General features: G+C 41.0%; 1 annotated feature.

Moving 5' to 3' along the window:
• Positions 1,525–2,075: an enhancer, noted in NCBI's record as "OCT4-NANOG hESC enhancer chr10:85691876-85692426 (GRCh37/hg19 assembly coordinates)". NCBI's record gives its function as "activates a minimal SCP1, AML or CMV promoter by ChIP-STARR-seq in naive H9 embryonic stem cells {active_cell/tissue: H9 hESC(naive)}" and the evidence as "EXISTENCE:reporter gene assay evidence [ECO:0000049][PMID:30033119]".

A 19,037-nucleotide genomic window follows, 5' to 3' on the forward strand; every position in this document is an offset into this window, starting at 1 on the left:
CAGTAAGCCGAGATGGTGCCACTGCACTCCAGCCTGGGCAACAGAGTGAGACTCCATCTGAAAAAAAAAAAAAAAAAGAAGAAGAATTAGAAGTGATAAGAGAGCTGCAGAAGTTCAGGTTATTAGAATAGAATATCAACTCAAACAAACAGAATAATAAAGAAATTAAGCCAGGCATGGGAGTGCGCCACCATAGTCCCAGGTACTCAGGACGCTAAGACGGGAGGATTGCTGGTGCCCAGGAGTTCAAGAGCAGCCTCAGCAACACAGTGAGAGACCCTGTCTCTAAAAAAAGAAAAAAGAATTATGAGAGAAAAAAGAAAATGAAGAAAGATAAATATTAAGAGGAATTGCTAAATTCTTGAATATTTCAATTATCATATGTCAGTTGGAATAGAATCATTATCAAAACGTATCAGTGGAGAAAAATTCCAGAAATTAAAAAAGAATAGATATTGAAAGTTAAAATGCAACATTACATTGTACACCTTAAATGGATACAATTTTTATTTGTCAATGATACCCCAGTAGATATGGAAGGAAAAAATTAAGTGATTCACTGGGTTCTAGGAAAACTATAATACAGAAATCAGCATGAAAATATAGAATACATAAAAACAAAGGCCAGGAAGGAGAAAAAATATATATATAGAATACTATTATTAGATATTTATTAAGATAAATGAATGAATAAAGACTATTGTATCAATCCAAACTTTCATTTATATGTGACAATGATGAAGATAATCTTGACAAGAAACCTCACATATGAAACAGGCTATTCTCAGTAATAACTGTAGTAACTTATACTCACTAAGCAGCTCCATCTACCCCATTCTGTGCTAGTCATTGCTCTATGATCCATCATCTATTAACCCCTTCTATCCACTCCCAGTTTACAAATGAGGAGACTGGGTCAAAAGTAAAATAACCTCTCCAATGAGATAGAGCAAGTAAGTGATGGAGTCAGTTTTCAAACTCAGGTCATCAAACTCAAAGTTCAAGTGCTTAACCAGAATGCTCTGCTAGTTCTAAAGGTGGTCAGTGTTAATTCTACCACCACAGTGGTTATTATAAGTTCAGGTTGGCTATCAGACCTAGGAGACACAATAGGCTTTAATCTAATGCTAGACTGACAGGGTAATTCAAGGACACCAGACAAGAGATGTGGCAAGTACTCAACTCATCAGGAGGCTGAGCAACTACCTTTACCTCCTCACTGGCATGGCACAGGTGCCACTGTCCTGGACAAGGACCAAGCTGTGTGGGAGTGACCTTGATGCAAAAGGGCTGCATGCTGTTTCTCACGAAACTTTCTAGTCGCACAGATGTGAGCTGGCCAGCTCATAGCTCCCCAAGCCAAGCACAGTTCCCCACTGCAGACAAAGCAGATATAACATTCGAAATTTACCCTGAATCTATAGTTTCTAAGAGAATCAGGCTGAGGAGACAAGTTGGAGGTCATTCTCCCAGGCGTGGATAGATCAACCCAGGCCTGGTATGAACTCTACTTAACAACTATGTGCCTCGCAGAAGCTGTGTACCTTGGAGCTTCCCATTAGCACATGTTTTTGTTCAATGTTCCCATATCACATTGAATCCATCAGAGGAATCCATGTCTTGCCTCAAATATAAAAGCAAATCCCAAAGATAGGCAATGCGAATAAGCATCAGGTGTTCTTTCCAATTATACAGACCAAATCATTTCTCCAGGTAGTAGCCTTACTAATGTCACCATGGAGTTTTTAAAATTCTGCAGCCACTTGGAGAAAGATCAGCATCAGAAAGGGCTGAGGTCTCTCCTGCTGGAGAGAACAAAGCAGGCTGAGACGGAAACCAGCAGGCCCAGCTCAGGGACTCACCAGGAGCCCAGTCCTGATTTGGGGAAGTGAAACACATACAAAAAATAATATTCCAGACACTACAAAGGCCTCCCTGAAAACTCAAAAGTGACAAGACATGTTCTTAGAAAGTAAGCAAGAGCTAATCAAAGGCTGGCAGGCTTCTGAAAAGATCATTGTGTGTTTATTTCAAAAGTGGTCTTTGAGGGTGTTTCAGAAGTCAAGGACACTTCCAGGGAAAGTCAACACAAAGTTACCTGGAGTAAAAATGAACAAAAACAAAAAGGCTTCTTTCGTCTTCCCAGAAGCAACCAGGTAGGAACATGTGATGGTTAATATTGAGTGTCAACTTGATTAGATTGAAGGATGCAACATATTGGTCCTTGGTGTGTCTGTGAAGGTGTTGCCAAAGAAGATTAACATTTGAGTCAGTGAAGTGGAAGAGGAAGACCCACCCTCAGTCTGGGTGGGCACCATCTAATCAACTGCCAGCAAGGCTAGAATAAAGCAGACAGAAGATAATGGAAGGACTAGACTGGCTAAGTCTTCCAGCCCTCATCTTTCTCCTGCGCTGGATGCATCCTGTCCTCAAACATCAGACTCCCAAGTTCTTAAGCTTCTGGACTCTTGGACTTACACCAGTGGTTTGCCAGGGGCTCTCAGGTTGCAGCCACAGACCCACAGATTGAAGGCCAGACTGTCAGCTTCCCTACTTTTGAGGTTTTGGGACTCAGACTGGCTTTCTTGCTCCTCAGCTTGCAGATGGCCAATTGTGAGACTTCACCTTGTTATCATGTAAGTCCACACTCCTTAATAAACTCCCCTTCATATATACATCTATCCAATTAGTCCTGTCCCTAATACAGAGCAGCATTGGGAATACTTAGAAAAGAGCCTATTGCTGTTGGTCTGCTAACCTCTAGGGCCAGGACCACCCTTCCCTAAGGGACTATTCTAAATCAAAGACCAGTATATGGACTTTGAGCCATGGCATATAAATGTGAGAAAATTGAAGCATGGCTGAAGTAGAATTGTAGGCATATATCTATTCAGAATCCTCTTTTTCAATCAAAGATACTTGCTATTATTTGATCCTGTATAGCAGGGGTCAGCAAATATGCCTCTGGGTTGAATCCATTTCTTCACTTATTTGAGAAAATAAGATTTTATTGGGACACCGCCAGGACTGGCCTCATGGGCGTGCAAACTGTGTCATCACAGAGGGCCTCACACTTAGAAGGTCCCACATTTGGACAGGCACGGTGGCTCATGCCTGTAATCCCAGCACTTTGGGAGGCCAAGGCGGGCAGATCACGAGGTCAGGAGATCGAGACCATCCTGGCTAACATGGTGAAACCCCGTCTCTACTAAAAAAAAATACAAAAAAATTAGCCGGGCGTGATGGCGGGCGCCTGTAGTCCCAGCTACTTGGGAGGCTGAGGCAGGAGAATGGCGTGAGCCCGGGAGGCGGAGCTTGCAGTGAGCCGAGAGTGAGCTTGCAGTGAGCGCCACTGCACTCCCGCCTGGGCCACAGAGCAAGACTCCGTCTCAAAAAAAAAAAAGAAAAGAATGACAAGAAAAAAATCTGTACAAGTTCAGAATAGCATAATTTTTATTTTTTGAATATTTCTGACCCACGGTTGGTTTTATCTGTGGATGTAGAGCCCCCCAAAAAGAAGGCCAACTGTATTTAAGTTAACTTTGCTTTGACTTTGTCCCTGGCACTAATCAGAGTTTTGTTGTTTTTGACCTAGAGAATCTGAATCTGGAGGCTTATCATAATATAATTACTGGCATTTAGCCACTCAATGCCTCTGTACAACCTGGAATTTCCCAAGCCATGATTGAAAGGTTGCTTTCTACTCTTAATTGCCTCACACTGTGGCAATGGCATATTAAAGGCTTTTGAGATTCAGGAGTCAGCAAAGTGAAATATTGAAAATAATTCCTGCCATCCACGGTCTCCTCCAGGTTGTCGTCTTAACACTTTCCCCCTCTGCTCTTCATAAAGAAAGAGGAGGGATCACCTAATCTTTTCCAGTGCTCACATCAAAATGTCTAAACCAAAAAGCTAGAAATATCTGTAACAGAATTTCAATTTTTTAATTGACTTTAATAAAACCATAACAAGGTAACATCCCCTGGAATTTTGACAATTAGAATTTCAAAGACCTACTGTATATTTTATCTTCTAAATTTAAAAAGAAAAAGAAAAAAAGAGAGTTTTGTAGTTCCCTTTAGTGCCATTTTGATGCTCTTTCTCTACTTAAAATATTAAATGTTTCTTGCAGCCTTAGTGGAAAGCGAGGACTTCTTATCGACACAAACTGTCTGCAATTAGAGCCGTGTACACAATCCACAGGAGGTCTGAGCTCTGGGCTTATGATCTGAGTGACCTCAAAGTGATTCAGAAGGACACACAGCAGTGCTGTTTTCCATGATTCCCTGATGTCTTAGTTCGTTTGGGCTGCTATAGCAAAGCACCATAAACTGGGTGGCTTATAAACAACAGAAATTAATTTCCCACAATCTAGAGACTGGGTAGTCCAAGATCAAGGTGCCAACAGATTCAGTGTCTGGTGAGGGTCTGTTGCTCATAAACTGTGGCTTCTTGCTGCATCCTCACATGGTGAGAGAGGCAAAGAAGTTCCTTCAGGCATTCTTTATAAATGCAGTGATCTCATTCATGCACTTATGCACATAACCTCATCACCTCCCAAAAGGCCCCGCCTCCTAACATTGTTACCTTGGGGATATGCATTTGGGGAGACACAAACCTTCAGACCATAGGACCTGGTGATGCTCCAAGGCTCACCTCCCACCCCCTAACCACCACCATGTCCCTACCTCTGCTGGGTACACAGTGCCCAGAAGCCAGAAAGTAGAAGTTAGACTTGTGCCAAATGTAAGCAAGGTAACCAAAGAATACCTAAACTTCAGAAAGCAGTAATTGGGTATACCTGGAGAGACCAGAGGGGGAAAATGGCTGTATGCTGCATTGTTACCAAAAAATGAAGTTCTGCGGTGGCTGTAAGGTGTGACTGAAGAAGCTCAATGTGTTTGAAGGATGGATTGCTAGATATTTCATCAGAACAGCAGGCCATTTTACCGAGGCCTTAAGCCCGTGGGGCTTCTCAACTATTGTTCAGGAACAAAGTGTGCAGTACAGCAGGGTAGGTTTCATCAAAATTGTTGATCTTAACTGGAATCCCTCATGATCCCTCCCCCCACAATATTTAAAACTCAGGAATAAAAATGGTTATGGGGCAGGTGTCAGAAAATTTCTTCTGTTAAGGACCAGATAGTAAATATTGTAGGTGTTGCAGCTATATGGTCTCTGTTGGAATGAACACAGCTATAGACAATGTGTAAATGAACGAGGAAGGCTGTGATCCGATTAAGCTTTATTACAAAAACAGGCAGCTGGCAGAGCCATAGTTTGCTGATCTCTGATATAAGGTGGGAAGCCTCACAATTTTAGAGCTGTCTTCCTAGACAGTCTGGCTATCGTACTCTGTGAATACGGCAAAGTCGCTCATCCAAAACAAGTGTTCTCTTACGGTCCCAACCCCTCTTGGTCCTGGGCCTCCTCCTCTTTTTTCCCATCCTATACAAATTATTCCTGATATCAATCTGAACTCATTACGCAAAAGAGTGCTGTCCTCAGGCTAATTGAGGTCCCATTTCTGATGGCAGCCAAACCCATTGTGGTCCAGCAGCCTCCTCTCCCATTTCCAGCAATGACTGATAACAGGAGAGGGCCTCTGTTTGTGCAGAGAGCTGGCTCAGCAAGCTCAGGAGAAAATGATTTTCTCTTTCAGTAGAATAAAAAAAGGTTAAAAACTCTAATGTTGTGTTTGCACTATATTTATTCTACATAATCCTGACCTTGAAAACTGAAAATCAACTACCATATAATCATAGGATAATTATCTGGTAATGTCTGCCCTTGAAACAAGAATGCTGGAAGCAGTTCTCAGAGCCTGTACCAGAGTAACACAGCAAAGGATAAGGAGGCTGGTAGAGACAAACAAAAACACTGGGTGCAAAAGAAAGGAGACTTCAGCTTGTAGATCAGTGCTTCTCAATATTCCTGTGTATATAAATCACCTGAGGTCTTCTTAATGTGTAGATTCTGATTCAGTAAGTCTGGGATGCAGGCTGAGATACTGCATTTTGCACAAGCACCGGGAAGTGACACAGATGATGCTGGTCCCAGGACACACCATGAGCACCTGAGTAGCAAGGTTTAAGCCTTCAGTAGTTACATTTGGTAAGAGATAGTCAGGCGATGAAAACCATCCCTTAGAGGTCACTCCATCAAACCTCATTACACAGATGAGGGAAGGGAAGCCCGGAGCTTAAGTGATTTGCCCAAGGTTGTACGTTAATGATAAAGCCTCTTGACTTCCATTCCAATGCATTTTACTCTCTAAAAACTTCTGGAAAGGATTCCCAAACAAAGATAAGAAACAGCTGGCAGGAGTTTTGTTGGGTTTTTTTTAAGTTTTTTTTTAAATTTTCTTTTTCATATGTGGAGATTGTGAGGCAATATTTCCAAATCAGGGTTTTCTTTTATTAATGATAATTTTGTACTAATTCTATAACAGTGTGTTTATTCCTCAGATGAATCCAGGGCTGTGTGAGGAATCAAAGAGGACAACTTCATGAAATGGATCATCAGATTTTCTATATTTTGAATAATTTTTTAATACAGAGATTCCTTGATTTTGAATAATCTGAAAAGCCATGATCTGAAAAATTGTGCCCTCTAATAACATGACAGATTCTTAGTCTAGAATAAAGGAAGCAAAATTCATGAACTTCAAGGGATTTCCTGAAAGAAGCTGATAAAACTATTTACTTTATCTCATGTATCTAGGAAAATTTCCAAGTCAGCAGTTGTGATTGTGGTCTCCGCTAGTCTAAGACAGCCAATTTCCTAGTCTCCTTCCAACTTTTACTCAAAGTCGAATATCACTACAAATAGCATGATATCCCTATATCATGCAATATGACATGAACTTAAAGGTTTCTAGGAAAAAAGAACATTACGTTTTTGAGCCTGCTTTGTTTTAGCTTCCCCTGACATTTAGGATGAATATAACTGGCCTATTCAGAGACTACCCAGGCAATCAAAAAACCAAGAATCCAAGCTGGGCTAAGCTAATGCTCAGGTTCAGTTTACAAATTGTTGTAAACACTTTCTGGCCAAATTAAACTCCATCTGGGGAACTGGGGAATGATGAAGTCTTCCCTAAATTCCAGCATTCTACCTGTCCACCTGGATCATCTTTGGAGCCCTCCACCATGGAGCCTCACAAGTTCTTCATAAAGATATGTCATAAACATCTCCTGACAACCTCTCTCCTCTCTGGGGTTTTGCACTTAGCTGTCTGCTTGGCAGCCAGTCCTGGAACATTTGATGGGGGCTCTGCTGCTGGCCCCCCTCCAAATGGGCAGACCTGGGAATTTGTAGCCATACATTTAAATAGCTTATTTAGCTGTGCATGTTCCACATTAATTGCTCCTTCCTTCAATTGGATTTGTGCTTGGTAATTTTCTCCTTACACAGAGAATACAGATAAAATTTGATGGGTTGTGCTGGCCCTGGGCCGGTCAACTGCAAAGCTTCCTTTCTCATTAGTAACTATGAGTGCAGAGGACAGGCAGGGATGTCATGGATCATGGGGAGCTGGTGGGGCTCCATGTTTCAGAGAGTGGGGATTGAACTTGCCTGACCCATGATTCATGCCTCTTCTTTTCAGCTTCCTCCCCAGATTTTGCCAATGGGAGACTGCAGGACCTGCCAAGCACAGGATGGCCCTCCAGAAACTTGCTTAATGATTTCAGATAGGGGGCACAAAATAACTATTTTCTATCACATTCTCTGACCCCCAAGAAGTGGTTGAACACAACACAGGGCATTTTATCAGTCCTAGGACTGCTTTCTGCACATACTTTAAGCATTCTTGAAAGAGTTGGCCAATATAAGCTCCTTGCATAAAACAGAGCTTATAATTAGCAGAAAATGTGTTTCTTCCTCATGCTGTGTTCTGGTTCAACAAAGTTTTAGAGTTTCCGTGCTATATCTTCTGTGTTTGGCCAGGCAGCCCATATCTGCCTATCTCGCTCCCCACATCTATTTACCCAGACAGGCGCAGAGTGACTCCCCAAGAGAACATTTTGGCCAGGACATTGTCAGTCCTCTAATCAGTGGTGGCAATGCCAGGCACTGAGAAATGCAAATCATCATCAAGAGAGAGTTCACCTAATGGCTCTGAGCACTCGGCTTGGGTTTAGAAGCTGCTTGTAGGTAGCTTTTTTTGCATACTGTGTGATTGTGACTTAGGGGCAATGCTGAAATTTATTAACAGCAAGCTTTGGCCTGACACCAGTGTCACACTGCATTAGAGAAAGTTCTGGCTTGCCTTGGTCATTCAGCCTGAGCCACAAACACCGCCTTGCTGCCTCTGATGGATCTGTAATGTTGTTGATTAACTTTGCCTGCATTGGTTAAGGTGAAGAACTCAAGATGCCATATCTCTCTATGTAGCAGTGTGCTGGTGAGCCTTGAGGGTCAGTGGAAATGGAGGGAAAACTCCACGAGCTTCTCCCTTGGGTATATTTGTTCTTCATTGAATGTTACCAGTGCTAAAAAAAGGGGAGTGCCTCAGACTTAAGATGTCCTTCTCCTTCTCACCATCCCTTGGACAAACCCACTCCTCTTCTTATCTCCCTCCCCTTATTAAAGGGTGCTACCATCTGCCTCAGTTGTCCAAGCTAGAAATTGGGGACTATTATTCATGCTTTATTCCTCCCATGTCTCCAGACCTCAATTAGTAATCAAGTCCTGTCCCTCAGTCTCCACAATGTCACCTAAATATACTGCTTCCCCTTACTGTCATCATCAGTTACCTAATGCAGTTGCTTAGCTAGACCTGCGAAATAGCTTCAGCTCTGTTCTCCTGCCCTCATATCCCTTTTCATCCCCATCCAGCTCAATCCACCATTGACACCTCATTGTTTTAGTCTAAAATACAAATCTGCGTATGGCAAACCTCTTGTTTAAAACTGTCAGTGGCTCATATCACCTAGAGGATAGCATTCAGACTCCTCTCCATGCCATTTAAGATCTATGGCCTCCAATAGCCCCTCAATTTTTTCCACCTCACTTTCTGCTGTTCTTCTCCATATTCTTAGGCAATAGTGAGCCCCAAGTATATTCTTTCCCAGCCAAGCCAAACCCTTTCACATGACCCCTTCTACCTGAAGTGCCCTTTCTCCTGCCCTCTCAGCATGGAAAATTTATATCCACTTCTCTAGCTTTTACTCAAAGAGAACATCTTTTGTAGGACTCTCTCTGATGCCTTTGACCTGTAATAATTTTTTATTTTGTTATAATCAGTACTTTATATGCCTATTACCTACCTAATGTCACATTGGGTCTTCTTAGTCTCTGAATTGCTAGCTCTGGCATAAATATTTTGCTCACTAGTATTGAGGAAAGGAGGGAAAGAAGGGAGAAAGGAATGAAGCTCATTAGTTTGTAACTTCAGAAGATAGTTTGTGCAGACAGCAAAAGTAATATGTTTTATATCCTTTATGTGGGTAGATATCCCATAATGTTAGGGTGAACAGAATTCTAAGCTGTTAGGGAAAATGGATGTTGTGGAAATATAACCTTTCTGAACAGCAAGTGGAATTTCCAACACATTAGGCAACTGCCTCACGTGTATTGAAGCCAGGTGTTTTATTAGAAAATTATAATTGTCCCACAAATCTAAGACCTCTAACCAATTCCAGGCCTAACAGAGTTAAAAGGCCACTGGCAAGATAATACCATCATCAACATGCCAAGATTCATCCCCCATTGTGCACCTGGGTCAGAGGGAGGCTGCCTGGGAGATAATCACAGCAATAGAAGTGTGGTTTCAAACCCTCTGACCTAGAGATCTGGATGGACAAGAGGGTAGAGTAGCCAAGAGAATTTGCTGGGGACAAAAAACAAGCTTTTAAGAAAGTCAAGGCACACATATTTTTTCCTTCAATATTCTCATTTATCCACAAAGAAAAACCTAAGAGGTTGTTAAGACAGAGGTTGGGGTTCATACTCCTGCTGGAGAATGACAATTTTAATGCCCATGGATGAAATGTTTATCTGCCAAATACTAAATATTTTCATTTTTGTGCAGCCACGACACACACACAGAGACACACATCATTTAACACAAGCAAAGCCTGAAAGTTAAACACACATAGGAACTGGAGTGGAGAGAAATATTGGGGAAGACCAGCAGGGCAGGATGGATTGAACAGCAGTCCTTCAACATGCCAAGTGTTCTCCCCATGGGTGTTCAAGCTCACACCTCCCTCCAGATGGCCAGAGGACCTCTCCAAAAACCTTGCTTCAACATCCATTTCCACCATGGAACTTGATCTTCAATCCCCACATATCAGAATCCAGAGTATAATATAAGAGAACTGGAGAAAACACATGCTTTATTTCTAGACCTGCTTGGCCATAATTTGTGACACTGGACCAACATTCCTAGTGTCTCTGTGTCTGTTTCCTTACACAGCCATGTGTCACTTAACAACACAAATATATTCTGAGAAATGCGTAATTAGGTGATTTTGTTGCTGTGAGAACATCGCAGAGTGTACTTACACAAACCTAGATGGTACAGCCTACTACACACTTGGGCTCTATGGTATATAGCCTATTTATATAGCCTATGGTATATAGCCTATTGCTCCTAGGCTACAAACCTGTATAGTAATGTTACCTTATTGAATACTAGAGACAACTGTAACACAATGGTAAGTGTTTGTGTATCTAAACATATCAAAACATTAAAAAGGTACAGTAAAAATACAGTGTTATAATCTTATGGAAACACTGATATATGCAGTATGAAGTTGACAAAACATCATTAGCTGGTGAGTGACTATATAAGAAATGAGAAGTAAATTACATGGGGCTGTCATTTTATCCAATGAGATGACAAATGAAAGCAGCGAGCTGACAGCTAACACACAGTAGATGTGTAATAAATTCCATTGACCCCCATTCCCTTCCAATAGTAGGCTCATTTGTTTAATATTTTGCTAGCATCTTTATTAGGCATCCACGCTCTCTGCTGAAATAAACAGAAAGCTTTGGTATTTGGCTGAGCTGATGACATTCAAAAGCCCCCACACATCCTCCTCTTCACATACATAACTGTCATGGGCTATGCAGGCCACACTGCATGTCAGAAAGCAAAAAGAATTTGAATTTTTTCTTCCTTAAGTGAAATAAAATGTGAAGAATGAACAAGATAAATAAGGTCATTTTCCTCATAGGTCTTGCTTATTTAGATCTCATTTTGAATGCACGGAAACTAATCTCTGCTATGTTGAGGTTTTTTTTTCCTCACACACTTAATGTGAAATACAGCAATAGATGGATGATGTTGGTGTTTGGAAGAGTGTGTGGTCAATAGAGGTTATAAAGAAAAAAATGAAAAGAAAGACAAAGTAATTTCTTTTCAGGAGGAAGTAAACTATTGATACTACATAAGTTGCTACTAGGTCAACCCTGAATTGATTTTCATGTAGTCAATAGTTCTGTATCCTTGCATTAATAGTTGGGTAGCAATAAGCACTGGCAACTTACCAAAATTAAGTAATATACTCAGCTATCTGCTATGTCTAATGACACAAATGTCTCTCAAAGCAAAAAGGACTTGGAAGACAAGGATATATGCCCTGATTTGTTAAAAAGAGTTATCCCATTTAAAAGGAGAGACAGAAATAAAAATCTTCTCTTATAGTGGCAGTTTGATCAGATATAACTATAGTTCTTCTTCCTTGTTGCCCCCAGTCCTCATTAAGTGGCCAAAGTATATATAATATTAGAGGAGAACCTATTATCACTGGTGGAAACAAAGAAATAGGGACATTCTCATGTTAGAAACTTTTAGGAACTTCTATAAGATATCTTATAGAACAGTCTGAATTGAAGAAAGACTGATATGCCCCATTCCTTTCCACCAATTAGCCACAGAGAGAATAAAAGACGCCCTCAAATACTCTTAACTGGGAGATGCGTGGGAAGGAAGTGAGGCTGGTTCTTAGGACAGTTGATTGACAAAAATAGGTTGCACCAGCATTGCTGAGCAGGGACAGAGACCTGGGAAACCCCAAGCAATCAGCCAGTGTGGGGACTGCACTCCCCTTCGAAGGACAGTCACAACTAAACCCTTTCCCAGAACCAAATTATCATTCATGGGGCCCAGAGAAAAATGACAATACAGAGCTCCTTATTCAAAAAACATTAAGAATTGTAAAAAGGTAACAGCAGAGCATTAAACCAAGCATGGAGCCCTTCTAATCACGGAGACTTGTGTGATTTGCACAGGTCATGCATCCATGAAACCCGCCCTGCCTCCTTTTTGCCCCTGTTTACCTCTGTGACTACTCAAAATCTCACTTTCTTGATCATCTAACACCTCCCAGGTCATCACCCTTATATTGGTCTTAACATCTGCAACTCTGGCCCACCCCACCCTTGAACTATACTCTCTGGAGCACATGAACTATAGCCAGAAAGATCCCCTCCCCCATAAACTTCCTCTTCCTCTTGTTTAACCCAGCTGTGCCCTGGGGCCACTGCCTCACCTGAAGCCTTGTCAAGCTGAGGCTGTTGGCTTTTCCTCTCACCTCTCCCAGTGAGACAGGAGTAGGTGTCCTCCTCGCCGCACCCTCCACTGTGCTTCCAAATAGTCTCCTCTCCACCCTGCTTAGAGGCCATGCCCTGCAGCTGTCCACCTCTCCCAAGCATATTGTTTCCTGATCTCCCAGTCACACCCTGCACTCCTTCTAGACTGCCAGAATCATAATGTATCTCTCCACCTCTACTCTCAACATCCTCGTGATGAATCTAACATCCGAATGGATAACATATCCCAGATCCCATCTAGCCTATTGGTTCCTCGACCTCCACACCATCCCCTACTCCATCCCATCTCCACCCCCACCATCCCAGAAGCATAAAACAGGACCATGACACAATCTCAATTTCAGGTATTCCACTCTCTCAGCAGTCCTTCATGTCTTCCAGTTCTTCACTTTAGCATTCCCAGTGAAGAAATTGTTTATCCTCATCAAGGCCTCTAACCAGTGACTCCCTCCACTGTGGCATTATCCATTACCCCCACCCTCTGTCTCACTATCTGCTTGGCCCAACTTGGTTCCCATAGTTCATGATTATAACTACTCCCTGACAGGGTCTTCATCTCTTTTACCTCTCTCCCTCCTTTATACTCATGTGGGAAAATGCCAACTATCTGCCTGTTTAATGTTAACTTGAGTCAGAAAATCAAAAGGTATCCCTGAATGAAAGGCTAAAATAATAAAACAATGACCACACCTGACTATCCTAGTGACCTTTTTTGTTTTTTAATTTCAAAACTAAAGAAAAAATTGTGAGCATCTAAAGATAAAACATACTACTTTAAAGGAACAAAAACCAGACTGGATGATGACTTCTTCCCTAAAATCCTAAAACAATGAATTAATGCTACGTGATTTTTAAGACTAAAGATTCTGATGAGCTTCCATTCATATATGAGGACAACAGAAAGTCTCAGCCGTCCCAAATCTCTTTGTTGTATGTCTCATACTTTCTGAAAATAGGCACACTCCACATGGCCAAAAGTTGAACTGAAACCAGGAAATCAGAACTGGGAATGTCGCGGCATACAAGAAGAATAAAATCAGTAGAACAATAATTCCAAAGAATTATTGTTAATAGGATTACAAAGCTGAAAGTCAAAAGTAAATCTTGTTTTGAGTATTAAACATAAAATGCTTAGACCAGTGTCTGGATATGGTTGGCTATTATTATTACAAAGAAATAAATGTGTTAATGATAATCTCAATCTAAAGACCCAAACTATTTGAACAAATTCAAGAAATGTGATGGGGAAGGGAGAGACGGAGTAGAAAATACAGAAAGAAAGGAAATAAAATCATATTATACTTTTTATCCTATGCCAGGTTAAGTCAGAAAATACCACTTTGTTCTTGAAGTGGATAACAGAAACAAGATGTGTGTGCAAAATAGACACATACTATATAATTCCATTCATATGAGGAACCTGAAGTAGTCAAAACCATAGGCACAGAAAGCAGAATGGTGGTTGTCAGGGGGTCTAGGGGAGGGCAATAAAGGGTTGCTGTTTAATGGGTACAGAGTTTCATCTTCGCAAGATAAAGATTTCTGGAGCTTTGTTGCAAGCTACTGAACTGTACACTTAAAATGATTAAGATGTTAAATTTTATGTATGTCTTATTACAATGAAAAATAGAAAAAAACAAGTTTATTTTCAAGTCAAAAAAGATAGAAAGAGACTCTATCCTATTACTATCGTTCAGAATTTTTTGTCATGATTTTGTAGAAATATTTTGGGCACTAACATGTATTGTGTTGAAGAAGTATTTAGCTGACATTTAAAAATTCCTTTATAGTTAAATAAATTACTAATTATTCCACTCATATAAGATTATTTTTACAACTGTTAATAAAAGTAGTAAATTCATAAATTAAAAAAAGATGTGTGTGCATGTAGCTACACATGTGGATATTGCTTCATTTAAGACTGTGATCCTCATTCTAGGAGTGTACATCCTGTTAACCCAGAGAGGTTTTGTTCTGTTTTGCTTGTTTTGTTTTTCTAAATACACAGGCCACTGTCAAGTAATGCAGTGCAGCAACGCTATAAATGCCATGTCTAGGTGTTCACCCAACTATTCACTGCATAGGAGTTTGCCTTTGCAGGCCTAATGAAGGTATGGCTGAAAGGAGAGTAGGTTCCCTTAAAAATGGGAGCCGGCCACCCCTGTACCAGACCCTCAAGTCCATCTCCCGGGACAGCAGCCTGTCTCTGGCAAAAAAAAAAACTGGCCAACCTCAACTCACACAGCTATAAAGCCAGGTCCGCCCAGGGCCAGCAGGAAGACACAGCCTCATCACCATCCCTGGGATGGTCTTCATGACTCCCACTTCCTAAGCCCAAGAGACTTCTCACGGCAGAGTAGCAGGATCTTTCCCCAGGGCCCCCTGTGGCCTTGCCTCTCCCCACCCCTACTGTGGTGGAAGAGGTCTTTCAGCACAATAACATCAAAAGAATGCTACACACAAAGCATCTTTAATAACAATAGCAGTTGTTAAATGTTTGAAATGAGAATAAAAATTGCCAGGGAGCCTAGCAGGATTAGGAAAACACTGAGAATCAACAGGTCCAGACTGGAAGATAAAAGATGTGAGGATACCAATTATCTCAGAGTCGATTTTTTAAATTCTCAACATTTCATATATAGGTTACTATTCATTCATTGAGAATACATTTAGTGATCCCCATGTAAGCGGGGGAGACCGCCATTCCAGATCCATTTGATGGAATTCCTTAGTGATGTTTGTTCTCATTTTCCCATAAGTGTGTGCTTGAGACATGTTCAGAATGGTCATTCTAATGAAACCTGCCCGCGGGGAAGACATGTGGTTCTCTAAGACTCTATCCCCTTCACCTAGCGTAAGCAAGAGAGACTCGGTTTTTTCTGAATTTGCAGTAAACATAATGCAAAGTTAGGGGGCTGCTCAGCGGAGAACGCGAAGATGTGCCCCACAGGCATGAATCTCCCTGATTACAGCCAGCACAGCCATGGCAGCTGGCTGGATGGAACCCGTAAACACCTGCCTGCACTCTGTCTGCGGCACAGGATAATTAATACCCTGCTCATAGCCTTCCACTTTCCATTTGCTTTGCCAATGCTGCTGTTACATACCACTGACTTTCCCAAATTGGATATTAATGATTTACTCTCTGAAATCTAAGGGTGCTTACAAAACATGATAGTGTGAATGGCTGAAAAAAATAATCATGAAAAGAGAAAACGCTCCAATTTTTCCATGTGGGTGTGGCCAGGCAGATGATTTGTGGAAGGGTATGTCTTTCGGTTCTTGACTATGAAGGCAGAGGCGGATAGACAGAGAGGGGCTGGCTGCCCATCTGCTTCAAACATCCCCGTTGCCTGCTGACAGCGTGGAGATTGATCGCAGGATGAGAGCTCTTCCCACGTAGCTGAACTAATAGAACTCATTCATATTCTCTCACAAAAAGCAAAAGGCGCTCCTGCCAGCAGCAGAAGAGTACAACGATCAGATGCTCAGGTCCTGCCCGGGGCTTGCCAGGTCCACCTCCAGCCCCAAGAGCTCTTCACCCCCTTGTCTCTGCTAGTCCATGTTGATCACTACCTGGGAAACCTGGCTCACCTCCTCACAGGAGCTGTCTTTGACTTATTCCATATGGCACGTATTAATTTTCTCCATATCCTGCCACCCCTCTTGTATGGAATCAATTTACCAGTCAACTTAGAGAGGTTAGGATATTGCATGGTAGTGGGTTTCAAATGACAGTATTTTTCAAGCAAAGGCACACTGCTTACAACAAAAACATTTCGCAGTTGCTGTGACACTTTGTACCACAGGTGGTCTCATTTTATTCTCATATCTTCATACAACCCTATAAACTGGATCCATGGACAGAGCATAGCTATTATGCTGACTTTGTTGCAACATCTTCAATACTGCTATTTTGACAAGGAGATATTTTTTAATGTTTTAAAGTAATCGCTAATATTTTAGGGTTTTTTTCTGTTTTTATTTTGGTAAGAACACTTAACATAAGATCTACCTTCTTATCAAATTTTTAAGCACACAATGGAGTATTATTGGCCGTAGGCACAATGTTTTACTGCAGATCTCTAGAATTTATTCATCTTGCATAAGTGAAATTTTGTACTCATTGAACAACTTCACATTTCCCCCTCTCCCTTTCCCTGGCCACCATCAACTCAGTTTCTGAGTTTGACTTTTAGATATCTCATATAAGTGAAATCATGTAGTGTTTGTCCTTTTGCATTTGGCTTATTTTACATAATATTATGGCCTCAAAATTCATTCATTTTGTTGCAAATGGTAGAATTTCCCTTTTTAAAGGCTGGATAATATTTCTTTGTTTGTATATGCCACATTTTCTTTATCCCTTCATCCATTGATGAACAATTTAGGTTACTTCTATGTCTTGGCTGTTGAGAATAGTGCTGCAATTAACTTGGAAGCTCTCATGCCTCTTCAAGATCCAGATTTCATTTCCTTTGGCTATATACCCAGGAGTGGGTCTACTGGATCATATGGTAGTTTTATTTTTAATTTTTTTAGGAACTTCCATGCTATTTTCTATAGTGGCTTCAGCATTTTACGTTCCCACCAACAGCATATAAATGTTCCAATTTCTCCATGTTCTCACTAACAATTGTTATCTTCTATGTTTTGATAATAGCCATCCTAAGAGATGTGAGGTTATACCCCATAGTAATTTTGATCTGCATTTCCCTAATTTTTGGTGATGTCGAGCACCTTTTTATATACATATTGGCCATTTGTATATCTCCTTTGGATAAATATCTCTTCCATTTCTTTGCCCACTTTTTAAATAGGGTTATTTGGGGTTTTGCTATCAAGCCATAGGAGTTCATTTCTTATATATTTGGGATATTAGCCTTTTATGAGATATGTCATTTTGCAAATACTTTCTTCCATCCTGTAGGTTGCCTTTTCACTTTTGATGGTTTCCTTTGTATTGGTCTTGGCAATGATTTCTCAGATGTGACACCAAAACACAAGCAACAAAAGCAAAAATAGACAAGTGGCACTGCATCAAACTAAAAGGCTTCTGCACAGCAAAGTTTTGATTTACTATTGAATTGTGTTTTAAAAAAAAAAGAGAGATCTTCTCCCTATTCCTGAGCCTTACTTCATAGTTAATAACCTCCACTCACCCTGTCTCCCCTTTTCCACACATACACAGGATGGGAATCTGAGACAGGATGAGAGATGGAATGGTATGAAGAGTATCAGAAAAAACTTTTGCATACATTTCTTGGTGACACCAAAGAGAAATACTACGTTTTAACCATGTCAAGGGGGCTTTCTAAAGTGCCTTGCATAAGTAGGTTGTGCAATATTCTATTCTAGGCACATAATAGACAAAGAAACTAAAGCTTACTAGGCAAGCAGTTTGACCAAGTGCATACAGTTGGTGATCCAGTGCTGTGCTTTATCCAGCACCTTTGAGTTAATATCCTGAGTTTTTATAATACAAAGATAATGGAGTTTGCATCCCAGAGAAAGTGCCCCTCAACATTTAAGGGGTGCAGAGGGAATAGCATGTGTGGAGTTGTGACAGCCTCTTCAGATAATCATCTTATTGGCGCCCCTCAAGGCTTCCAGGCAGGCATTGCTGACATTCCCATCACTCAGGTAAAGAATTTTGACCAAGGCCAAATAACTGAAAAATCACTGGATCAAACTTTGATCTATGTGACAGTCAGTCTGGCCCTCAAACCTGGAAAACTAAAATTCCAGCTTTAAATCTCTCTCTGGTTTTTGGCTCTTTCCACATTTTCACCAATACCTGTGCCATGATAATGTTATTACCATTTCCTTGGTCAACTAAAATATTTCTGGGAGAACTGATGAGCATTTCTTTGGAGAAGTGAGAGGTGGTGGACACAGCAACTGGTGCCAGGAGGTCAGATGACAACTAGCAGGGATGGCACATACTCAGGGCAGTGGGGGCTCTGCCTCTTTTTGTCATGTGTCATTGTAGACTTCCTCCAAGAAACAAAGAGCAGGAGAAAGGACGAACATGGAGGAGAAGCAGGAATGTAGAGGAACAGAAAGATGGAAAGTAGAAGTGGCAGTAAAATCAAATGACTGTGCTGTTATTTTGGTGAAAAGTACATAAAGCCACCTCTTTCCTAAAAGGTTGGGAAGGTTTACAGCAGGCATATGTGTACTATTAACAGGGAGTATGGAAAGGGGCAAAGACGTGAGTATTTGACTATGACCAAGTTCCAGATCAGCCAGATATTTAATCTCTCTGAGCTTCAGTTTCTGCATTTGCAAAGAAGGACAATACTAACACCTTCCTCACAGTTCTCTGGAGAGAATTAAATGAGATAAAGCCTAAAGCATCCTTACCTCAGTGGCTAATTTGTAGCAAACATTCTGTAAATGTAAGCTAATTTATTAAAGGTTAATGCAATAGTTTGGAAGCTTGACCCCTCTAAATCACATGTTAAATT

Source organism: Homo sapiens, chromosome 10 (assembly GCF_000001405.40).
Source record: "Homo sapiens chromosome 10, GRCh38.p14 Primary Assembly".
NCBI lineage: Eukaryota > Metazoa > Chordata > Mammalia > Primates > Hominidae > Homo > Homo sapiens.